Consider the following 26,597-nt stretch of genomic DNA (forward strand, 5'->3'; position numbering starts at 1 on the left):
TGTCAGTAGCTGAAATCTTAGTAAAAACAATAAGTAGTCTGAAATACTAAACTCACATGAAAATTTGTTTTCACTTTAAACATATTTTTTGGCTTTTTGTACATCGAATACAGGTCATATCTGTTGCCTATATACTTGTAGATTAAAAAAAAAAACAACGATGTCAGCACTGCAAACTATAATTGTGATCAACATATATGATGGGTATAGTTGCTTTTTCTTTTTGAAAGCAGACACTGTTTATTCCAGGTTACAAAAATAATCACAGCAAACACCTTAGTTCATCCTTCTAAGGCTTTTGATCTGGTCTTCCCTGTTGTCAGCATCTCCGCCTTCTACAAAATGAGTGGTCTTTTTCTTTATTGAACATCCTGGAGAGGATGATTTGAAGGGCCACAGGGAGTTATCTGTTTCTTTGAAGCATTTTCTAACAGTACAGATCTCATGAATGAGGTACTACATGCTGATGATGTCATATTTACCAAGAGATCGACCAAAGTGTTAACTGTCAAGGCAATTCACTTCTTACTGATTTTGCCATAATCATGCTTATAGATTAGTTCATTTACTGACTTCAGGTTCGGGTACTCCCATGCAAAATAGGGTTCTACAATTCTCAGCATGTTAATTGAAGCCTCGTTGAGGTTAAAAATTTCCTTTCAAGACCTGATGAAGGCAAAGAAGCTGGAATACCTTTTGGACCTTTGTACTCATACCGTTAATACTTCTGATCCTGATGACAAATGTCAATTTGGGTTCAGCAGGTACATAGAAGTTGTCAGTTTTTCTTGCCATCCTATCCAATCAAATATCAGTTCTATACATTTGCCTATATTCTTTGGAACAGTGCTTCACTTTTTCATAAGTTTCCTCCTTGCCTTCAGAAGCATCTTTTGGGTTAAACTTTTTTCTCAGGCATTTGATCTTCAGGACTGCAAAATTCCTTCACTTTTTCTTAAGAGTTTCTGGCACAGCAGGAACCTTCTTCTTCCCTTTGATATCCTTCTTGATTCCAGCCAGAAAGGAGTGGTTGCTTTTTCCCTTTAAGAAGTTGTCATTTTTTCAAAGCATTGAATTAAGTATTTCCATGGTGGTAAGAAATACAGAGAGGGCCTGAAAATTCACTGACAAGGCAAAAAGTTGACAGTTGTTTGTGGGCAAGCATCTTTTTCTTAAATAAAAAGTGTGAGTTAAAGAAATGAGCAAAAGATGTAGGTGAGCCAGATGGATACAACTTTCATTTTATGTTTTTCTCACACCTGTATAAAACATTGTTCTAGTTCAAGGTATTGGTGTGAATATTCAAGTCCCAATCAAGCCACCCCAGAATGTTAAGATTAATAATGCATGTCAAATAAGAACAGCAAACATTATGGATCCAGGTGTAAATGTTATTTGTCTTGTTTCTAGCTTTCCTGAGTATTTTTTTCTTTCTCTGCCAATTAACTTTTTTTTTTTTTTACAGGAAGTAATCTTTTATTCCATTGGTGAGATGTGTTTCTAATCTTTCACTCCATGCAGAATAGCACCATTAAGGAAACTTAACTTTCTTTTCTTTTTTTGAGATATAGATTTTTTTTTAAGCCACAGGTTTAATGTGCTGCCCTTGACCTGAGAAGAAAATCTTGGATTTGTCTTTAGAGGAGGGATTTTGCTATGCCCCAGGGTGTTTATGACCAAAGCACATATTTGCTTCCTTCGTCACTGCTGTGAGGTTATCATGTGCAACTGGGTTAAACAAATAAAAAATACATTCCTATCACACACACACCTCTGAGTCCAGATAAAACAAAAGAACAGGACCATAAATGTCATCATTAGCTTGATTTCATGTATATGTACATATATTAAATGTGTGTTTGGTATGTACATATTTGACAATGAGTCGAAAAATATTCTACTATCATCTTTAATAACTCTTATGTAAGCAAAATGTGGCATGAAGTGATGTGATCCAGAACTCTGAGTAATCCCAGCCACAGTTTACTAGGATTTTCAGTAGTTATTGAGGCCTATGAATGTGTGTAGCTTTTCTTTAAGTCCTTCTGAAAACAGGTCTGTCCTTGAGGTGTCAGATTAACACTCCACTCAGAAGACAAATTGTTTGTGGGCACACTGGACATATGAGAGCCATTAGAGAGTGTGCTCTGCATTCTTGAAAAATGAAAAATTCTAGGCAACATTACATCTTATAAATGCAAGATGTTTATTATTACAGTACCAGCAATAAATGTTTAGAAACTGGAGAGGGCTCACAATGGTCCTGACTAGGAACATATGCCTATCAAGTTCATTGGAAGCGGAGCCATTGCTTTTTGGCATTAAGCAAAGGGTCTGGAAGCTATTATGCATTTAGGCTTCTATGAGTATTTAATTATATCAATAGGAGAACACAATTTCTGTTGTGTGTATAGTGCTGAATGTCTCCATTTATTCATGTTACTGTGCGTGATAGATGAGTTTAAACCAGATGCTGTAACTTTCTTGCTATTTGGCCAAATTATTTAAATCATATTCTTTGAAAATTCAGAAAATACCCTCCTGAACATCATTAAGGAAACTTCACCCATGGAATCTGTTTACAGACTTTTCTAAGGACGCTATACAAATTAACACACACACACACACACACACACACACACAACTGTGTATAAACATTTCCACCCCTTGATGTAAACTAATATATACTACTATATTGATCTTACCCTTATGCACTTTTCCAGGTCTGTCTTTTCTACCTTTCAATGATGCTTGCTTGAATATGTGATTACTACTGTTTATTTTATATTTGCCCCTGCACACTCAGACATTACCTAATGATGCAATCCAAAGTTTTTTGTCTGGTAGCTTTCTTTTTATATGACTGCAGTTAAGATATGGGCTCTGGTCCTCTTCTACTGTTTTTGATAAAGGTGATTTTACATTTAGAGTATAACATCTTTTAAAGAAACCCATTCCTATTTTGAATAAAATAAATACATTTTATATGTAAACTAACACTTTGCCTAGCACCTAGAATAATCAATAACTTACACATAGTAAGGACACAAAAAATATATATCAATTGAACGACTGATGAATGAGCTTATGAAAGCCTCCAAACAAAAGAAAAAACAATAAATATACAAGTATTTCCTAAGTAGTCGTTTTCTACCATAAAGTATTTCTTTTATTTTTATTTTTTAAATGGACAGATACAATGTCATGCATTTACCATATACAACATGATGTTTTCCATGTATAAATCCATAGGAGGTAATGCATTTGTTAATTAGCTATATTGAACCATTACTATGTAATTCTGATTTAAGTAAGGTTTTTGTTCTTGAATTGTTCTGTTGGCCTATTGGCTTGGGAGGAACCATTGTTGGGATTTGGAATTTATAATTCCATTTAAGTTTATACTTTATTCAAGCTTCTGGATCATTACTACCCGATAGGTAATGCTGGTCATTATTTTTTAGGCATGTGCTGTGCCCACATATTTCTTATCTTTTTTGTGGCTTCAGATACATGATCTATTTGTTCCATTTGCAGTTCTTTATTACTGCATGACAGACTCCATGACAGAGAGTATCTTGGGAGACTGAAAACAACAAGCTCTGAAGTCAGATTTAGCAATAGCAATAAGTTGCCTCATTTCTAAAATAAGAATAATTGTATTACTTGGGTAATTACTTTGAAAAATATAGAAATAATGAATATAAAGGAGCTACCAACATAAATATTATAAATTAGACTCCTTCATTAGGTAAGCTACCAGTAATATCTCCTAGAAAACAATCATCACCAATCGTCTTTGGGCTCTGAATGGGTATAATTTTGTCATGGTGCACACAATATTACTTATCCTTGGTAACTGGTTAAAAAAAAAGTGAGTCCAAATAATTTTAAATAGCAAAATAGTTACTAAAACTGAAATTCAATAAAAAGTAAATGTGAAAAGGATAAATCAATATAAAAACATCATATTTGCGTTTTCATTCTTGTTTTTTCCTCTTCCAATGCATTAGATGAAAGTTAAAATTCTGAATCTAGTATAACAGCATCAATGACAAATTTAAACGTGCAAGTCAGAGGCAGTTGAGGGAGTCAAAAAAGTTAAATAAGACTAACAAAAAAAGGAAATCTTAAAAAAGTTAAATGGTAAGACATTGTACTTACTGTCAAGACATGGCAAATACCAGTTTTCAAATTCAGGAAAATTTTCCACATGGGTGGCATGAAACACAGGAGAAGAAGGTAATTTGCCAGTGTTATAAGCGTAAGCCCATGTGTGAAAAAAATGAATAAAACAGAAGAACAAGGGAGAATAACAAAGCTAGGTCATTACTGTTGGGTTGGGAACCAGATGATGAAGAGTCCAAATGCAACATAATTGTGCATTTAAACTATGAAAAGGTTTAATTCCTTTAATATGTTTATATGTATTTTTTTTCTCTTGCTACATTTTTCCTGCCCTGCATGATAGTCCTTGACATAGATTGAAGGCATGGTGGGGGTGGGGGATGGAAATTAACACCAAACAAAATAACCATCTTGTTATTTAGTAATCCCTCCTTCTGTGGTATTCTAGGAATTCAGATAACTCATTAACAGATATCTTTTATTTACAGTGCCTCAAGCAAGAGGAGTACTTTCTTTTTAAATGTTTATGGTAGAAGAACATCAAGTATAGTTGTCAACAGACTTCTTAATATTACTGGTTGTGCCTGTGCCTCCAAAGCATGGATTTGATAGCTCCAATATTGTAATCTAAATTTCCTGGTAAGAATTTTGTTATTTCATTACTTGTTTATGGTAAAACAAAGTCTTGGTACTTTTTAATAGCTCTGACACCTTATTTCTGATAAAACAAATATGCTTTAATTTCTTGGCTTGTCTTAATTTGGTTTAGTTTGCAAATAATTCCATGACTTAAACATGCGTGATTAATACTAAACACCATGAGAATATCAAATAATATTTGTTACAGTAGTAGGAGTGGGAGCAGGAGGAGTAATAGCGTCAGTGACTAACATTATTTGTTTTCAAATTCCAGATTTTGTTCTATGTACTCCATATGTATCATCTAATCCTGAGTAAATGCCCATTTTAAAGATGAAATAACAGATGTTTTAAAACCTTATGTAATTTGCCCAATGTCACCTAGCAAGTAAGTGGCAAAGTCAGATTGGATATTAATACTTTTACCTGTTAAGATATATAAACTATTTTTTCTCTTATTAAGCTTATAATTTAGTTAAGATAATTATTTCCTCTATTGAAAAAAAAACAGTCTCTTGAAAACTGTTTTTGAATATTTTATATTTAGTTGTTATTCATAGGCCTGGCCTTCATTAGATCATGACTATGACACAAAATCATCTTTTTTTTTTTTTTTTTTTTTTGCCTATGACAATTTTATAGTACTACACAAGAGGGGAGTTTAACACTGCTTTCCTGTCATCCAGAATATCAACTTCTACTTCTTTTGCCACTTGCTAATGGAGCTGGAACTCAGCAGGGCTTGCTTGATAATGGAGCATTCTACAATGAATGCATCACATGCTGCCTGTCCCCAGAGTGTACTGCCTTTACATAGTGCTACTACTGCTGCTTCTACTTCAGAATACTGTGCTGTCCTTGACTACTTTGTCAGGTTCATGGAGAAAGACCATTCCATCATGCATGGGAGTGAGATTTTCCCTGGGAAGTCATAAATTACAGCCAGGAGTACTGTAAGTATCTGACTTGAGGTGAGGAGGAATATACTCTAAATCCAATGGGAGGCTGAGCCTACACTCTGAGGTATGTAGAGTTCTGGATCTCTGCCGATAATGGAGTGAGCCAGCATAACTAGCGAGAAACAAATAGACCAGGAGTGGGCAATAGGAGTGAGCAGTAATACCAAGACTCAATATTTAATGAGAGGTGGCAATACAATAAATCAATTCTGCTTAAGACTATTTTCCAAAGAGATTACTGGGTGTTCTTTCCATGAAGTGTGGTGTGACGCTTAATTGACCCTCTACAGGTTATCTGATTCAATTAGAGTTTGGTTTTCTATTGAAAAATAGCCCAAAACTCTCACCTTCAATATAAAACACTCTCCACCTTCAGCCAGGTAGTTTCAGGTAATAGATGACAATGGGATAGACAGAAGCAAAGTCTCAAAAAATTCTGGATCAAGGGTTTATGTTCACAACAGAACCTAGTAATACAGGTTCATTTTTGAATGCAGAGTAAGAAGTTGTGGTTGAAGTTTATCAACTAGAGGGTCCATAAAAACATATACATTATAAAAGTAGACTTTCATCCAAGAAACAGAAATATATACATCACATCATTTCCTGAACATTAGGAATCCATTTTTGAAAATTCAGAGGTTCTGCATGAAAATACTAACTGGGGGCCTATATTAGTTTCATGTGGCTGCTGTAACAAATTACCACAAACTGGGTGGCTTAAAACAGAAATTTATTCTCCCACAGTTCTGCAGGCCAGAAATCTGAAATCGGTATCGCTGGACCTAAAACAAGGTGTTAGCATCGTTGCACTCTCCAGAGTCTCTACAGGATAATCCATTTATTGTCTTTTCCAGTTTCTGGTTGCTATCAGCATTCCTTGGCTTGTGACCATATAATCCAACCTCTGTCTCCCTGTACGCAGCCTTCTCCTCTCTGTGCATGTCTAATTTACCTCTGCCTCACTTTTATAAAGATACATGTAATTGCCTTTAGGGTCCACTCAGATAATTCAGAATAACCTCCTCATCTCCAGACCATTAACTTAATCATATCTACAAACACCTTTTTTCCAAATAGCGAAACATTTAAAAGTTACAGAAATTAGGATTTATTATAGTATCTAGAGAATATTATTCAGCCTAATACAGGATGTATTTTCTGTTAAGTTGGAAAAATGATAACAGGCTACATGTATAAACCAAGACTCTCAGGCGATACCATATGACTAAAACATGGTAAAACACTTTCGTGTAAGAAATACACTACCATGTAAATATATAAAATATGTACTTAAAATGCTACTTCCTGACCATTATCTTATGAATATAGTTATTAAAATGGAGTTTTATTGTTTGTGTGTGTGTGTTTATACTCTACTAGGAGAGTATAAACCAGGAATATATTCTGTGGGGCATGCCTGTAATGAGAATGTTGTTTTCTGAGAATTGCCTATAGCTGTGTCATAATGACAAACATGATAAATGGGAGAGAAGCAGTTGTTCCTTAGAGAGAAAGAATGAACAGATGACCAATGTGACAAGATTGTAGGTTTTACATCCACCAAGATGTATCTGGGAGTCTTTAAACCATTAAGAAAAAAAAAAAATTAAAGTCCGATGGTGGGAGAGTCAATCCTAAAACTGATCTGCCTTTCACTCAACCCAAATAACACTTCTCAATTGTGTGTGTATGTGTGTGTGTGTGTGTGTGTGTGTGTGTGTGTGTGTTGTGCTGTGCTTTGATTCAGTTTGTTTTTTACTCTAGGACTCTAACGATTTTGACTTTCTGATTCTGGAAGATACATTATTCAAAATACATCTAAAATTTATTCAATTTACTTCATTTCTGCTACTACCACTCTGGTCTAAGCTATCACCTTTTGCCTCAATTGCTCTAATAGTCTTTTAACCTGTCTCCTTTATTCCACTCTTGCTTCTCTACAATTCATTTCCCACACAGTGATCATTTAAACATGTAAATCAGATTATTTCAGTTTACCAATTGCAAGCCCTCTAATTTTGGGATTTAATCCAAAGTTGTACTGTGATGCTGGATGATGTGCCCCCAGCTCGCCTCATCTCCTACCACTCCTTCCCCCTCTCACTAGCCACATTAGCCTTCCTTCTGTTCATCATTAACTATGCTGAGCTTATCTCCACTTCCAGAGATTGCTGTGTCCTGGGCTGGAAGGTAATTAATTCCCCCATAAAATACACCACTGTTTGGAATCATGCAAGTCTCAGCTGATCTTGAGACAGCCCTGTCATGTCGGTCCAATCTAAAGCAGGCTCTGAACCCCAGTCACTTGTGAATGCCTTGCTCTGCTTTATTTTTTTCCAGGGAATCATCATCCTAAGAATTGATCTTATTTATTCACTTGCTTATAGTTAGAAAGCACCACAAAACAGTTACTGCTCTGTTTATAGGGATGAGAATAGTTTCACTTGCAACTTCGCTTTTAAGAAGAGAATTCTTTCTGTCTTGGTTTTAAACACTAACTCATTAGTCTGTCTATACTGCTGGGCTAAGGCATTTCTTAAGGACAAACTTAGGCACAAGGCCACACTGCAAGTATATATGTGGTTTCTTTAGAATATCAAATCCTAAGGTGTGTCAATATTGAGAGTCTGCTGAAATTGTTCAAGGGATTTAACTGGTACATCAAAAATGGGTTTTAGGATGCCCAAATATTTATCTTTTAGTTTTGGAGTCTGTTGTTTGAGATCTAGGATGTCTCAGGAGGGTGTCATGACAATCCTCTTGTGTTTACCCAAGTATGCAAGGTAAACAACAAATGAATCATTTTCTGAGTTGCCATGACATTTAAGGAATGTTGAGAAGTACTGCACAGACACAACTAAATCCTTGCTGTGCCCTTCATAAATACCTATGCCTTTCCTGGTACAGAAGACATGCTCCAGTGCTCTCCTGACCCTTGTCTCGGTCCATTCGTGTTGCTGAAACAGAATATCATGGACTAGATAGCTTATAAACAACAGAAATAGATTTCTCACTTTTCTAAATCTAAGATCAAAGAGCCAGCAGGTCTGGTGTCTGGTGAGGGTTTGTTTACTGGTTCATTGATGGTGCCTTCTTACTTAGTCCTCACATAAATTCAGCTTGCAAACAAGCTGAGGGATCTTGCCACATTTATGAGGGCTCTGTCTTCATGACCCAAATACTTCCCAAAGGCCCCACCTACCGATATCATCTCCTTAGTGGATAGGATTTTAATGTATCAATTTGGTGGCAACACACACTTTCAGACCACAGCACTCCTCAAATTCCTGGACTTTTGGTAAACCAGATGGAAGTTATCATCATATTTAACAAAAATTGCAATAATGGTACAGTGCCTGCTACAATTTATATAGTCTTTGAATATTGTTGTTGGCATTAACAGTGAATTTTTATAAATAAAAATAAATAATTTTATTGGTTTGAGGTTGATGAAACCAAACAGAAGAGTCAGTAAACCCCATTTGATAAAGGAAAACATACAGGAAATTTTAAAACAAGCAAAACAAAAATATAAGCAAAAACAAAAACAAAAAAAAAAACACAGTTTAAAACAAGTTATAAGTGGCATTTATTTTTTCTGTATGTAATGCCAGAAACATATATATTAGTGCCACAGATTCTTTTAGGTTGCCCAGGATGTTAAAGTTACCTTGTCCTTTTTGTTCTAAGTATCAACTAGGTTGAAACACCATTTCACATCCCAGCTCCCGTCAACATGCCTTGGGTCTAGTAAGGGGCTTGAACTTTTGTGCCTGATCATATGTGGTCCCTATTTATTGCTTCACAGCAAACTCTTCATCTCCCTCAAGTCTTTCTACATATGGCTGTTTCTGTCTTTCCTCTCATGTCACCCAAATCAGTCCCTCTTCCACCCAGCTGTTGAGTAGGAGACTTCTACTAAAGATTGAGGAGTAACAGAAACACAGTGGGTGTACAAGAAATAGTGCTGCATCAATGAGCAGCACGTAATTTAAATTGGTACATTATACAGCCTTCTTTACCCTTAAAAATGTGAGGTCAGTTCCACAACTGAAAAAATATTATTTTCACTTCTGGGGCCATCTCTGAATTCACAATATCCCAGGCACCTGTATATTTCTTCATAGAAAATTACAAATTACACATTTCTTTACATTTCTTTATTATTATTATTATTATTATTATTATTATTATTATTCGTTCTTGTTGCCCAGGCTGGAATGCGATGGCGCGATCTGGGCTCACCGCAACCTCTGCCTCCCGGGTTCAAGCGATTCTCCTGCCTTAGCCTCTTGAGTAGCTGGGATTACAGGCATGCACCATCATGCCCAGCTAATTTTGTATTTTTAGTAGAGATGGGGCTTCTCCATGTTGGTCAGACTGGTCTCGAACTCGTGACCTCAGGTGATCCGCCCGCCTTGGCCTCCTAAAATGCTGGGATTACAGGCGTGAGCCACCGTGCCAGGCCGCCTCTTTACATTTTCATTTTCAGCCAGCTTCTCTAGTCTAGGCACTTACATAAAACTGCTTTTTCACAAATTGAAGACCCATCAAGGTAATCCTCCAATCAGTTCTTAAAAATTAAACTTTTCCTGCCCTCTCTCTAAGATTCATAATTATTTAATATATTTGATAGTAGATCTTGTAAGAGCTGTAATGCTACATGAATCTTCATAATATAAACCAAGGTGTTTTTTTTCCATTATCCTAAATTAGTAGGAAAAAGGATTAGGTCTGAATTTAGTAACCAGATCCTAGTTAACATTTAAAATCTAGAGGCCCTGTTTATACACTTTGGCAGAAAACAAGGCCAACAGACAGAGCCCGGTGTGACCGCTCTGGAATGGTTTCTTCTTTCCCATTGAGCTGAGACATAGGAAAACTCTGTAGTAACTGGAATCAAGAACCAAATTGGGCAGTGAGTAAGATAAACACACTTTGGCTCAGCAACAGTTGAATTGATAAATGTCCACTTCAAGCCAAGCTGTTTTTAAAGAGCATATATTCCTTATGAAAATATCTGGGGGGCGGGAGGCAGAGTTTGCAGTGAGCCGAGATCTTGCCACTGCACTCCAGCCTGGGCGACAGAGCCAAGCTCTGTCTCAGGAAAAAAAAAAAAAAAAAAAAGCATATATATATATATATCTGGGTGGTACAGAGAGGTGAATCTTAGCTTAAAGAGGGTTGGCCTGGAAGACCTAAGAATACAAATATCAAATAAGTAGGGCCTTTAAAAAATATGGGAATTTATAGGGTGGTTTTCCAAGTGAAGGAAACCATACCCTTAAATGCATTTCCTTTTCTGTTCTTGAGTTTCTCAGTGGTAGAGCTACTCAATCCTCCATGCCTTATATTTCACATGTTAGTCTAATAACCTCAACTGGGAATGTCAGAGAGGTTAGACACAAGTTTAACATTGGGTACCAGACTTATATATCAGTAAAAAGACCAATTCTGTGGTTCTCTGACTTTTAAATTTCACTTAGTACATCTCAAAAATAAATATTAATTCATTATAGCTACTAAGTTTTGTAATTTGGATAAGTGAAAAGTTAAAAAATAACAACAAAAGGACCTCTACATATAATCATTTCACAAAAGCAAAAGAAAGGGTATTTTAACACCAGAAAGGGTAGAAAAGCTTCTTAGACAAATAATTAAAAAGTCCTTAAAAATAAGTGTAGCTTTGTAAAAACTTTTAAATATTATGTTCTAGCTTTCATTTGGCCTAGACCCAAGATGAATTATTCAGACTGACTCCAAAGTGCAAGCAAGTGATTGGGAATATTGGAATAGTTCTTTTATTTTATTTTATTTTATTTTATTTTATTTTATTTTATTTTTTTGTCACCACTTTTCTCACTATAATTACCTGGTAGAAACTTGCATCTTCAAGTGCACAGGTTCGCATAACTTCTCAGTCTCCTTCTGGTTTTCATTTGTTTATAACTTTAAACCACTACTGACTTTAAAGTGTTCAGCATAAAACCCAATTTGTGCTTTTATTCATTTACAACAGATGAGGTCAGAGTGAAAAGAGGGGCAGGTTATAGCTTCCCTTTTTTGTAGCCCCCTTTATTAAAATCACTTGCAGCATTTTTATAAGGTTCACACTTTTCTCTAAGATGTAATTTGTATAAACGATACTTTATTTAGAACTGTTTAGTAAGTAGTAAACCTGGGGCCTCAAAGTCTCTATAAAAAACTTACGGCCAAAATGACCTTCATCTAAATCACAATACAGAAACCTAATAATTTTTCAAACATGCAGAAGCCTTAAGCAGAATGAAATTCCAATAACATATGCTACAACTGATGACAATGAATGCAGCCAATCCTAAAAGAACCAAGAGGTATTGTTTACCAGGGTGAGAAACAAGATGAAAAAGACCTTACTACTCTTTTTGACTGAAAAGACATTGTCAGTCAGTCTGCCAAAGGACTGGTACTTAAAATTCATTTTAGACTTACAACTATGGGGATATTAGTAACTATTACAGATAACACACAAACACACACACACACACACACACACCCTTTATACATTTCTAATTCCAATTTTAATTTGAAAGTGATATGCAAGAAGCAGGCCATGAAACTGAAGGGCAAGACATGATAGGCATAACACAAATTAATGAGTAATTTTAATAAAGAAAAATGTATTGAAAGAAGGAAATTGTTAGATAGGGAAGCACATCTCCATCTTCCAGAATATGTCATTTTTTTCTTAGCATGTATGTCACTAGACCATGTAAAATTCCTGTCAACTATCCTCATACTTTGCAATTTAGCTTAAAATATACAGGATATACTATGGTAATAAATTGTGTTGGTCTAATAAGGTAATGTGTGAGCTGGATCGCTGAGTATGTCTTTATAGTAACAAGTATATAAAAAGTACTTTTAAAAATCACTTAGCAATGATGAAGTTCTTTTCACCATTTACATAAAATGCAAAATGTATTTTCTATTTTACACAGAAAAGTACAAGCAGATATAAAATTCCATGTGCATCACCAGTTATGCCCCATAGAAAATATTATTTGCATGACTAAAAATAAGTATGGAATTAAGTGGCATTTGGTAGAAGATAAACTAACTTCAAGAAAATCACAGCCTTTCAACAAAGAGTAGTTTGAGAAATTTTACATATTTAAAATTATAAAGTAATAAGACTTCAGTTTTGACTCAATTTGATACTGTTTCTCTTAAATGTTTTTTGTTTAATACAAAGAATTTATATTCTCAAATATAATGAAAGAAAATGGGTATAATTTTATGATTATAATAATGTTTTACATTTATGTAAAAGAGAAATGTCACTGACTCTAGTATAGAAAAAATTGAGAAAAACTGAATTTGTTTTTTTAAATAAAATAAATTCCTACTATTATTATATAATAAATATACATTGTAGAAAATAAATTCAGCAACAAAATTAATATTTTCCCAATCAAAAGCATAACTAGTATATTGAATTTCAGATCTTTTTATATATAAGTATTTATATTTTATTCTTTTTCTGATCTTATCTTACATTCTCTTGTGACCTGTTTTTTTTTCACCAGCATCTATTTTCATTTCTCTATTTCTGTAAAATTATAACTTTTTAATACATAATTTACATTTAAATTATCTTAATGGACTCCAAAATGTTCAAATCAGTGGCTAGTTCCAGACAAAATATTGTTTCTGCTTTTAATGTTTCTTAATCTTCTTTCCTCTTTATTAGACATTTCTTAAACCTCTTAATTTAGGATGTTTTTCTACTGTCTCTTCTTAGAAATGTTTTATCACTGAGAATTTCTAACATTTATAAAATAGAATAGGATGACTCCCTGTGCACTCATCAACTAATTTCAACATATGTTAACCCAAAGACACACTTTCTGTCCCTGCATAAAACAAAACTAAATTATTTGCAGTAAATCCTAGTCTTAATATTATCGTATCATTTTTTTTTTTTTTTTTTTTTGAGATGGAGTTTTGCTCTTGTTGCCCAGGCTGGAGTGCAATGGCGCAATCTTGGCTCACCACAACCTCCACCTCCCGGGTTCAAGCAATTCTCCTGCCTCAGCCTCCTGAGTAGGTGGGATTACAGGCATGCGCTGCCACGCCCAGCTAATTTTGTATTTTTGATAGAGACAAGATTTCTCCATGTAGGTCAGGCTGGTCTCAAACTCCTGACCTCAGGTGATCCGCCCACCTTGGCCTCCCAAAGTTCAGGGATTACAGGCGTGAGCCTCCGCACCTGGCCTCCTATCACTTTATCTGTAAAACTCCAGTTATATCTCTGTAAGACAGGTGCTCTTTTAGGGAATAGAATGATGGTCACTAGAGGCTGGGACAGGTAGTGCAGGGGGTTGAGGGATGAAGGCATATGGTTAGTGGAAACAAAATGTACTTAGATAGAAGGAATAAGAAATAGTGTTTGGTATCACAGTAGGATGACTATAGTTAGAAATAATGTATGTATATTTCAAAATAACTAAAACAGTGGAATTAAAATGTTCCTAACACAAAGAAACGGCAAATGCTTGAGATCAATACTCCAGTTACCTTGATTTGATCTACACCTTGTATCCTAATATCAAATTATCACATGTATGCCATAAATATGTACAATTATTTATTCATGAAAATGAAAATTAAAAAATTTATAAACAACAATAAAGCAAAAAGATGCTCTTTTAAAAATATAACATAATAACATCAATATACATACTATGTATATGTAAACATGTGGATATGGGTTTTTTAAGTATCTAAAAAGATATGTACATGTACACACACATTTCCTGTACATGTGTTTGTATGTGTAATTACATGTGTCAGAATAAAAGTATTAATATAATGAATAACATATAGTAGACTAAAAATATCTATTGAATACAGTATATTAATATTTTTAAAATTGTTTTTGTACTTGTGCTGTATGTATAGGGGTGTACAGTCAAATTATCATGTTTTAAAGGCATTTGGAATAATTTCACTATGTGTGGTTTTATCATCAATTCAATACATAGTTTAATTTGCTTCACTTTGTTTCAGGTTTTAAGAATTGCTATTTTTTCCCCACTTAAAATATTTTTTAGAATTATGCAAAACATTTACATGGATATAGAATAAAAATCTACAAAACAAAGTACAGTAGGAGAAGTCCAACTCTTATTTCTTTCCCTCTAATCTTTGTCTCTCCTTGTGCCATAGGTATCTGTGTGTGTGTGTGTGTGTGTATATATATTTGTATATATATGCGTGTGTGTATATATATTTATATACGTGTGTGTGTGTGTGTATATATATATATATATATACACATATATATATATATATATATATATATATTTTTTTTTTTTTTTTTTTTTTTTTAATGGAGTCTCACTCTGTCACCCAGGCTGGTATGCAGCAGCGCGATCTGGCCTCACTGCAACCTCTGCCTCCCGGGCTCAAGCGATTCTCCTGCCTCAGCCTCCCGAGTAGCTGGGATTATAGGCACACGCCAACACACCCAGCTAATTTTTGCATTTTTAATAGAGACGGGGTTTCACCACATTGGCCAGGCTTGTTTCGAACTCCTGACCTCAGGTGATCCACCTGCCTCAGCCTCCCAAAGTGCTGGGATTACAGGTGTGAGCCACCATGCCCGGTCGTTATCTGTACATTTTCTAAATTTAAAATTATTTTCCAGCTTTTAACATACCTATATACATATGCATATATTAACGTAGTCAATACATGTTGCCTATATCCTAACATTTTGCTATTTACATATAATATCCTGCATATGTTGTCTCTTTCTTAAACAATCACATATTATACCCATTTTTCTTGAACTTGCTTTCTATATCTAACAATATATATTGGAGAAAACTTCTTAGTAGTTTATTGAGGTATTCCGTTTGTCATTTTAGTATTATCTAGATTTCTATTGTGTTACTATACTGTGTTTATTCAAGCAACTCCCGTATCATAGTAATGTGCATTTGTTTTTTCCCAGTTTTTACAATTCAGATATTGCAGCATAAGTGGCATTGTACATATTGTTCTCTTTTTCATATTTTTGTCAGTATATCTTTGGGACATGTTCTTCAAAGTGGGATTGCTGGGTCACCAGACAAAGGCATAAATGTTGCTAGACTTTATTAAATTTCCCTTCAAAGTGGTTTTGAACATTTTGCATTTTCATCATCAGTGTATGAGACTGTTTTATTCATCCTTACCCACAGAGGACATTGTCAAACTTCTGGATTATAGCCAATTCAATATGTAAGAAATTGGATCACAGAGTATTTTAATTTGCAATTTTCTTATTATGAACAAAGCAGAACATTTTTTCATATCTTTAAAGACATTTATATTTTCATTCTTTTTTACCTATCTGTATATTTTGCTTATTTTCTATAGTGTTAAGGCTTTTTTTTATTTTTAGAAGATATTAATATGTTTCATATACTACCTTTTTTTGTTGTGTGCATTACATATTTCCAATTTCTCATTTGCCTTTTACACTTTGATTTTTTTTTGCATTTACAAATTTTATATGAACAAATTTATCAATATTGTCTACTGTTTTGTCTATAAATTGTCATAGTTTGAATAATTTTCTCCATTCTAGATGTACAGTGAAATTAACCTATGTTTTTACCTAGCACTGGTATATAGTTTTTTAATTTTAGATTTTAATCCATTTAAAATTTATTCTGGCATAATAGGTAAGAACTGGAACAAAATTTATTTATTTTTCTTACATGGCTATTTCATCACAAGATCTTAATTATTCAAAACTAGTATACTTTACTCACTGACTTGAAGTCTCATCTTTGTCTTACACCAAATTTATATTTACAATTTGGGCTATTTCTGGAATATCTATTATAGGGTACCAGTTTTAATCATATGAACTTGCTGAAGTTAACGAAGCAGCTGTCCAGAAGAATGTCCTGCATCTTGGGTTTGTCTGCTTGCTTCCTTTTGAGATATTTTACTTTATTTCTCATTTTGCTAGAAGTTAAATATAAAAAGCTTTATAAAATCAAATGAAGCATTTTTGACTAGAATAAAAACTGATAAAATTATATCTGTCACAGTACATCATAGCAGAATTTATGTAATATCGGTTTGACACACCATTAATGGTACTATAATTTGTCACTAAACAAGTTAACACAGATCATCTCTCTGTCATACATTTTTCCTTGAAATTTGTAGAAATAAAATTTATAATACATCCAAATTTAATTAGTTAATTTTAATTAATTAAACTTTATTTATAATTTAAAAATAAAATTTATCAATGAATTATTTAATATAGATTGACATATTTTATAAAAATAATACTCGAACTATAAGATAAAAAATTGAAAATATGTTACGGCAACTAGAATTATAGTTGCCTAATTTTAAAAAAACTATCTGTAGCTTTCTGTTTTCATCTACTTTTATTTTTAAAATTGTGTTAATACTTATATTGTTATTAAGGTAAGGGTCTAAACTTGCCTTAATAATGATACAAGTATTAATACTTATTATATCAAATCATATCAAATCATCATATAATCAGTAGACATTTTAATGACAAATGAATGATTTAAATAATTTTTCTTTTTACTTGTTCCCTTATTCTAGGCAGACAAAGCAAATTGCAAAAAAAAAAAAGATCACATTCAACAAAAATATGTGAACAATTTTTTAAATTGATAATTGTAAACTATGAGTTTCAAAAATATTTTTGTATTCAATTTTACTAGAATAATTGAGTATATATTGTACATATTTTTATAAATAATTTTTAACAATTTTTTCACCTTTTAATGAGAGCATGGATATTTCCCCTCTAATTATTTTATGCATGCATGGGTTAATATGACTTGTTTCTAAAATCATGCAAGATGCAGCCTTAATTGTTTTCCCTTTTTTATTTTCAGAAATGTCAGCAGTTACTAACATTTTTCATATTTCAAATAAATAAATAGATGGGAATTCAAGGAGTTCTACCATAGATATATCACTTAATTATCTAAATCCCTTCTCTATTGTATGCAAAAACTGTATTGTGATCATTTACCAAACATTGCTTTTAATGATTTATTAACTGACAACCTTATCTGACCATCTTTCAATTTTGTTGAAAGCAAATATTGGAAAGCACTTGAATTGTAAAAGCATTTGTTACCCAATCAGTAAAGTCATGCACATCCTCAATTTTGGGGAAGTCTAAAAATTGACATGACCAAGATCTGTCCAATGTCTTAGTTTTCATACACGTGTTAGAAGTTAAAGGATGCTTCTTAGGCAACAGTGAATTTCATTGTTTTTTTGTTTAGTAGTACAAAGTAAGTGAGAATGAATGATGGCTGGGAGTTGGTCAGAAAGTGTGGGAACTGACAGAACAGCTTTACAGCAAGTGTCTTCTCAGGCAAATAGATTTTGCAAATAGTATCTATGAAAATGAGAATATGAGCTGGAAAGTGACTGCCTAAAAATTGTCCATATCAGCTCCACCCTTGGTAAGTAGGTATTCCAGGGTACACATGTCTCTCAGTTTGAAGAACACTGTCCATAGGTTCCCACAAAGTAACGTGCGGTGCCTTTCAAAAGAAAAGAAATGTTGATAGAGGAGATGCTGATAAGTTTCAATAAACTAATTCAGGAGCCAGCACTTCAAATTTGTTTAGATCATCGTGGGTTTAAATATATATATATATATTCTGGAAGCCTGTGTTGTCTCTTTCCTTAGAAGACTCTAAAAATGGTCAACTGGAATCTGTTTCTCCTTTGCATTAATCAGCTTGTGTTAATCAGCTCAGTTAGAACCTCTGCCTATTCGCAAAGACAGAGGGCTTTCTGTATCCTGGGTTCTTGCCTTAGTGTATTGGAAAAATCGGATCACACAGGAGCTTGGAGAATGAGGGCAAAGTTCTGTTGACTGGAAGTAGCTCTCAGTAGCTCTCATTGAGCTGAATGGGGAGGACAGCAGGGGATGGAGTGAGAAGTTGGAATTGAGCCGCCCAGCGGCCAGACTGTCCTTTTGCAGAATTCCCCTCGGCGTCCGCGTCGTTCCGCTATGGATGGCCTTCCAGGATCTGACGATGTGTTCTGCCAGTGTGTTCCTCTCGACATGTAGCTGCTTGTGTCTGTGCCCACTAGGATCCTGGGGTTTTTATAGGCACAGGATGGGGGAGTGGCGGGCCAGGGTGGTCTTGGAAAATGCAACATTTGGGCATGAAAATAGGAGTGCCTGTCCTCACCTAGGTCCATGGGCACAGACTCGAGGGTGGAGCTCTAGCCAGGGACCCACCCTTCTCTACCCAGCACTTCCCTGCCCACCTGCAGTATCATGTGATATATACTTATACACAGTTACACATTATATTTAATATACTATTTAACATTTTATACATCAGTGCCTAAGGAAAGTACATAAAAAATTCCACCTAATATTTGGTATGGTTTTTGGCAAGAGGAATTGTATTTCTCTGTGAACAATTACTATTATTACCAACTTAGATTACTTAAAAGGTAATCAGGAAAGCATAGGTAGTAAAATGACATACACATGTTCAAGTACTTAAAATCTTGCATAGGATGAGATATGGTAAATTGGACAGAGATGACAAAATGAATGGAAAATGGCGTGGAGGCTAAGCATGATAATAATGTGTCTTATTCAATTCTACGATTTAATGATATTTTGATTTAAGGTTAGATACAATCCAAATCTATGAAATTTTAGATTATTAGCAAATGTAAATTATTTTTTAGTTTTCCCCAAAAAACTGAATTAAGTTACTTATAGTGTATTAAATGGGGCCATTTGTACATTCAATAGCTCTATTTAATCAGAAACACTCAAACTGTTTCCTTGAAAATATATACAGGTGTAAATAATAGTGGAAAATGCGCTTGGCAAGGTATCTTTGGAGCTTGCCAAACCCCAGACATCTTAGAAATGCTTGAAGATGTTATAATGAACAAAACATACTACCAGTCCACTGAACCTTGGCGATATGTGTCAGGAAAGCAGACAAAATACCAAATATGTTATCATGCTTTCACTTAACCAAAGCCATCCTTTTGCATTTGAATTTTACTAAAGACTTATCCAATTTTTAGTTCAGCTCTGAGATGAATTAGTGTGTTAATTAAACCAATGGCAGATTCCAATAAAACTTTTCATCAGTGGCTTATAATAATCTCTGAAATGGAATTGGGCATATATGCTTTGAAGACTTTCACAAAAGGACACAACAGCATTTAATGAGTTGTCTAAACTTTATATTGGGGAATGAATTTCCTACCAGTGGTACATGGAAGTTTTTGCATTAGAAAAATGTTAGCAAAAACACACACCATATGCTCCTGTTGCAGGAACTTTGAGAGCCTTATTATGTCTCATAATAGACACAGAGCAGTACAAATTCTTATTTTTACCTTGTACGCTGTCTATTCTTCATGTCAAATGTGTACAAAATGAGTTCCTCTTCTACTGATCCAAGACTATTTTCTTCTTCCTTTTATTACCTGAAGTCTACTTCTATGTTATCATTCTTTTATATGAATTGAAATTGAACACATATTTTATGCAGTACATCAAGTCCAGCATAGCTTATTTATATGTGAATTATTTTGCTTCTAATAAGAGAACAATCCACAATCCATCCTACATTATATATTATATTAAGTGGGTTAGCAAAGAGGGGATTCTAGAATATATGAAAACTACTGGGTGAATGTTCTGTTTTTAGTTTGCTGCTTCCATTAGGATTCCTCTAAACTGAGCTAAGAGGAACTTTCTTTGATTTCATTATGAAGAATTACTAAAAGATTTCTGACATTCAGGTGAGAGGGCAGAAGGAACCAAGAGGCATGTAAAGCTAGCAGCATGCAGCTCATTCTCATTTAGAAATATCCAAAAGGCTCAGCCACAAGTGGAAAAACCACTGGAATGCCAAGAGTGCAAATGTTTTAAGAAGACAAGAATTCTAATTAGTCTGGATGGGAAACTCAGCATGACGTTCGATAGCTGGTTTGATGTTTAGAGTCATTACACTGAACCGTGTTGGTAGGATTATACAATACTATTGTGATAATACAAATGTTAAATAAACCACCTACCTCAGAAATTTCTAAACAGAACTTTACAGTTTTTGGAGCAAATAAAAAAAATCTTAGTATTTTTCTTTGTTAGATTTCCTAATGAATTTAGCAGTCTTTACACTTAGCAGGAAATCTGGACTGATCATTTGAGGCCTGTTTTCTTTATACATTTTGGAGTACGGGTTTGCTTTTGGACACCTAATAAATCATGATCTAACATCTAAGAGAGACTTATTGCTATATTGTGAAATCAAGGGAAGAAAAAAAAAACAGTGTAAATACTTGGACTATCTTGTTATGTTCTTTGACATATAGGACAGTAATGAACCAAAAAGCAAAATTCTCTAGCAATGATATGTTAGTGCCCCAGTTTTATTATGTTGAATTAGTAATGGTTTTGTGTTTGAAAATGTTAAGCCTTACCTTGTTTGTAGTTCACCAAGGAATACGACCATATGTGATGCTTTTTCTGTTTCAGGCAATGCCCCCACTGCTGGATAGATTGCTGTTGACAGCTTTTGACCAGAGGGAGCCATTAGATTTTGCTGGCTAGCAAACAATTACAGCTTTGATATGAGCTACAAGGTAAAGATTAAAAGGAATACCAATGTCTAAAAATATGCTAGGCCTGTGTGGTCTCTAGTCCCTTCTTGTGCAAATGAAAAATTGTTTAGATGTACAAACTAACAAAAGACAAAACCAAAAAAAGCCAAACTTTTTAGGATTTGAACAAAGGTCATCTGAATGCTGAAAGATCCCTTTAAGAATAGTAGAGACTTCATACCATTATAAAGAATTCAAAAGTTTCATTTAAAGATAACAAATACCTTTCAAATGATGCTATTAGTAAGGTAGGTTTAAAAATAATTTTTGTATTTGGAAATGTGCTGCTTTTATTTCTAGCAGTGTAGTCTTAGGGGAACAGTTATATCTTACATATTATGATGCAATAGTGCATTTAAACTGACTAGGCATATGGGTCAATGAATGCTGTCAAACAATAAGATAAAATGACTGTTCATACTATTTGGACATCGCTGAGCATAAGCTAAATCCATAGTTTGTTAGTTTGAAAACATTGCTTGGAATAGCAAAAGGGACAGGAACTATGGCAAATTTAGCATCTCATAGATCCTGATATTATAAGAAAAATCAACTTAAACATTTTTATAGGTAAAGCCTATCTTCCTTTGGCAGAAAAGAACCTTACTTAGATTCTGAAGGGGATCTTACAGAGAAAAGATAAAAATACTAACTTTTTTTGTGTGTGTGGAGTGTTCTGTGCTCTGAGATTTTCAAAAATTGGAAGTAAATAGTAACCTATGAGTTCAATTTTAAAAAAGTAAAAGCTTTTGATGTCCTAAGACAAATGCAAACTTACAATCTTTTACTGTGGTAAAGTGAGATACATTACTCCTTATTAAAAGTCTATAGATTTGATAATTTGTCAAAGTACTATTATATCACTTAATTTTTGTTTTGTTTTTAACTGCATGAATATTAGAATCATTTTTCCTCTGGTTATTTTCATGATTATCTATAAGTATAAAGTAGAAACTGATGTATTAAACATAACATATTTAGGTTGACTAAAGTATGAAAACTGATATGGTTTGGATGTTTGTACCCTCAAAATCTCATGTTGAAATGTGACCTCCAATGTTGGAGGTAGACCTGGTAGGATGTGTTTGGATCATGAAAGTGGATTTCTCATAAATGACTTGGTGCCATACTTGTGGTAACAAGTGAGTTCTCATTCTATTAGTTCATGCAAGAGCTAGTTGTTTAAAAGAGTCTGGCACCTCTTTCCCTGTTCTCTTGCTCTCTCTCTCACCATTTGGCAGGTCTGCTCCCCCTTCACCTTCTACCATGAGGAAAAGTTTCCTGAGGGCTCACCAGAAGCTGAGCAAATGCTGGTGTCATGTTAGTATAGCCTGTAGAATCATGAGCCATATCTCTTACATTTATAAATTACCCAGGCTCAGGTATTCATTATAACAATGCAAAACATATTAGCACAATAGTTAAAAATGCATAGTTTTATCATTTTATGTTGTTTTCAAATATAGCCATCTTGTGTAAATACAAACTTGCCTTACTTTTGAACAAATCCATATACTAAGTATTTTCCCTCGCATTGCCTCTTATAAGATTTCTGAAACAACTTTAGTCTGTTTTAACGTGTTTGCTACCCTCTTCAGTTAAGATCAATAATCTGGCTTTTGGAAATGAAAATATGATTATCATACAATTGCCATGATGACACCAAAAAAATATAGTCTTTGTTCGATTCCCTGGATCCAAAATTACTATTAAATAACCTGCGTAGGTGAGAGAGATGACTTTCTTTACAATAATATGGAGCCAAATAAGAATCACTTCCTACTCCATGTCTGAAAGATTGCCTTAGTGGACAGTCTTCCTCCAAATTTTGGGTTTATGAAAGGTCTGGCTGTCTGGCATGTAGAACTACAAGTAGACAATTGCATTCTCATTTGGCTTATTTTCCAAAGTACGCCATTTTTTTTCCACTTTGCTTGTATTTCTATATCTGTTAATGGAGATAACAATACTTAGCACATGAGTTGTTATGAGGCTCCTAAATTGCTTTGCGCACTGTCTGACATATGGTAAGTGCTCAAAAACTTAGCTAATTTTATAATTGTAATTGCTTTTACCTACTTTTAGAGCACAGAGTCTTTGTCATATCATTAAAAGAGCAAATGATTGATTTAAAAATCAATGAATCTTCTGTGGACAGGTTATGAAAAATATGTTGATTAAAAAAGTCTTGAATGATATTTATCTTCTTGGATATCACCTAATTGCAAGTCTTTCTCTTTTCTCAATTAAAAAAAAAACATAACATAAAAATTTCAAATCTCAGCCAGGCGCGGTGGCTCACTCCTGTAATCCCAGCACTTTGGGAGGCCGAGGTGGGTGGATCACCTGAGGTCAGGAGTTCGAGACCATCTTTGCCAACATGGTGAAACCCCATCTCTACTAAAAACACAAAAATTAGCCAGGTGTGGTGGTGTGTGCCTGTAGTCTCAGCTACTCAGGAGGCTGAGGCAGGAGAATTGCTTGACTCCAGGAGGCAGAGGTTGCAGTGAGCTGAGATCAAGCCCCTGCATACTGCATCCTGGGCAACAAAGCAAGACTCTGTCTCAAAAAAAAAAAAAAAAAAAAATTCAAATCTCTGCCATGTAGATGTAGATATTACAAGTAAAATATCATTAGTATTCTTCAAAAGAATCAATAGATGTTTACAGTAGCTAATAGCCTATCCAATCTCTAATATAATATGCACATTTTAAAAATTCTGATAAATGAATATATATTTGAAAGAATCAAAATTAATTGAAACAACACAAAGAAAGCACTCAAATTTTATAAATGAATGAACAAGTAAACATTTTTATGTTAAAGAATACTGAAAGAGGAAGTAAGCTATACATTACATTGTACTGCTAGATATAATTTGATCATTTCTTGGTTTTGTATCTGTTTCGGGTGTTTACACATATCTCTCTCTATGTAAGTGACTTGACTTTCTTCATTTTTCTACCCCTTACTTGAACCTTTTCCTTTTCAGTTTTCTTTGTCTCTCTACATTTGCCTAAGTGAGAAGGCTTAGTGTCACCCTTCAAAAGCCTCCTCTTCGCTTTCTGTATGCAGTCTGTCACAAAGATATGGGAGTGCTGGGAAGGAAAGAGCATAGTTCCTTTAAATGATACGGAAGGTGGGAAGAGAAGTGCTGGATAGAGAAAGGTGGGTCCTTGGCTAGGGTTCCACCCCCACGGACTTGGGTGAGAACAGGTATTTCCTGCTCAAATGTTGCATTTCTCAAGACCCTGCCATGCCCCCATCCTGGGCCTATAAAAATCCGAGACCCTAGCATGCACAGAGGTGGCAAGATGTTGAGAGAAGCACATTAGCTGAAGAAGACGCAAGCGGCTGGTTGTGGAGAGGAGCACACCAGGGGAGGAGCATGCCAAGGGAGGAGCACACCAATAGATGCCAGAACTCAGGCAGGCCATTCACCAGTGGAACGACACAGAGTTCGGCTAGAGTGGTTGGAGAAGAGTCAGGTTTGACTTCAGGGGAAAACCATCCCCCTTCTGGCTCCCGGATCTGCTGAGAGCTACTTCTACTCAATAAAACGTTACACTCATTCTCTAAGCCAACATGTGATCCGATTCTGCCAGTACACTAAGGCAAGAAACCCCTGTATACAGGAATCCCTCTGTCCTTGTGATAAGGAAGGGAGTCTAATTGAGCTGGTTAACACTAGCTGCCTATAGATGGCAACTAAGAGAGCACCCTGTTACACACACCCACTGGGGCTTCAGGAGATGTAAACATTCACCTCTAGACACTGCTGTGACTTCCGATCCCCACAGTTTGCCGTCTGTATGCTCCCCTAAAGGTTTCAGCAGCAGGGCACTGAAGAAGCAAGCCACACATCCCCATCACATGCCCTGCGAGGGGGATAAGGGAACCTTTCCCATTTCAATGATTCCATTTCAAACTATATCTTAGATTGGTCCACATTCTTCTGCCTACGCTACCATCGTTTCTTTCCTGAAGAACAACAACCACCTTCAACTTAGTGTCTCCTAGACTCTTTTTACTTCCTTTAATCTAGTCCTCCCATAATCTAATGCAATCTTAAAATATAAACTTGTTTTCTGCATTTCCCTTCTTAAAATCATTTGATTGGTTTCTTATTGTGTGTGAATAAATTGAATATTCCTTGCTATGGTGACCTTCTCTCAGGCCCATATCATCTTTCACTGTACTCAAACCAAAGTGGCTTTCTTCCTATTTCTAGAAATATTCAAACTCTTTTTGTTATCAGAGCTTTAATATCTGCCCTTTCTTTGCCTCAAATGCTATTTTCCCAACTGTGCCTCAGGAAATATCTGTCTAAATAAAAAGTCCGAGTTTTAAAAGTTAAAGTGTTTGAGAGAACTGTCCTAATCGAACAATGTAAGTTATATTATTTCTGTTACTCTGCTTTACAGACTCACTGTTATTTTGCCTGGTAGATGCAATGTATTTATTTTTTCTTAGGACCTATTTACTATTTTTTCTATTTGTTTTCCTATGAAATTGATCAAACAGAAAAGTACAGGCCATTAAGAATACATAATAGTGTTCCTGCCACTGAGATTTAATCTTATATATACACTGCCCAATTTTCTTAAATACATTGCAATAAAAAGTTACCAACATCAGCATTTCTAGAGGGCATGTTTGTTTTCACCCTTTCTGGCAATGTATGGAGCTGTTATACTGTCCTAATCCTTGTTAACACTAGCAACTCTCATGAGAAGTAAATGAAGTCTCCTAGTTTTAAATTGTTTACTGATTGCTATTTTCTTAGGGAACTTTCCCCCTGTTTACTGCTTTAATATCCTTATACTTCTTTTGTGACTTGCCTTCATAATATTTGTCTATTTTCTTCTTGAGTTGTACCACCCTCTCACACCACCATTATCAGGTTCTGGGAGATTTTTATATGTTCAGCATCTTATCATTTGTTTATAATATATGTTGCAAATATTTGTTCCTAGTGTATGTGTATTTAATTCGATTTACTTTTTTGTTTTACAGAGTCTTTAGTTACACAGAGATAGTTCATTGTAGTGTAATAAAATTATCATTTTTTAATTATGGAATTTAAACATTACAAAGAAGGATTGGGTCACACTTGGGGTAGAAAGGAATGAAAAATTGCCATTAGGACTTCTAAATCTGAAATTC

At 34.6% G+C, this 26,597-nt stretch overlaps 1 long non-coding RNA gene and 1 pseudogene across 2 annotated transcripts in view; one reads left to right on the top strand and one right to left on the bottom strand.

Moving 5' to 3' along the window:
* RPL7P30 (ribosomal protein L7 pseudogene 30) lies at nt 277-990 on the bottom strand (annotated as a pseudogene).
* Nucleotides 4,636-26,597, top strand: part of LINC03017 (long intergenic non-protein coding RNA 3017) — a 51,843-nt gene continuing 29,881 nt past the window's right edge. For both annotated transcript variants that reach the window (NR_110080.1, NR_110079.1), the window contains exons 1-2: nt 4,636-4,767; nt 21,307-21,413. This is a non-coding gene — a long non-coding RNA (long intergenic non-protein coding RNA 3017). The remainder of the gene's footprint in view (nt 4,768-21,306; nt 21,414-26,597) is intronic.

This window comes from Homo sapiens, chromosome 7 (assembly GCF_000001405.40).
Source record: "Homo sapiens chromosome 7, GRCh38.p14 Primary Assembly".
Taxonomy (NCBI): domain Eukaryota; kingdom Metazoa; phylum Chordata; class Mammalia; order Primates; family Hominidae; genus Homo; species Homo sapiens.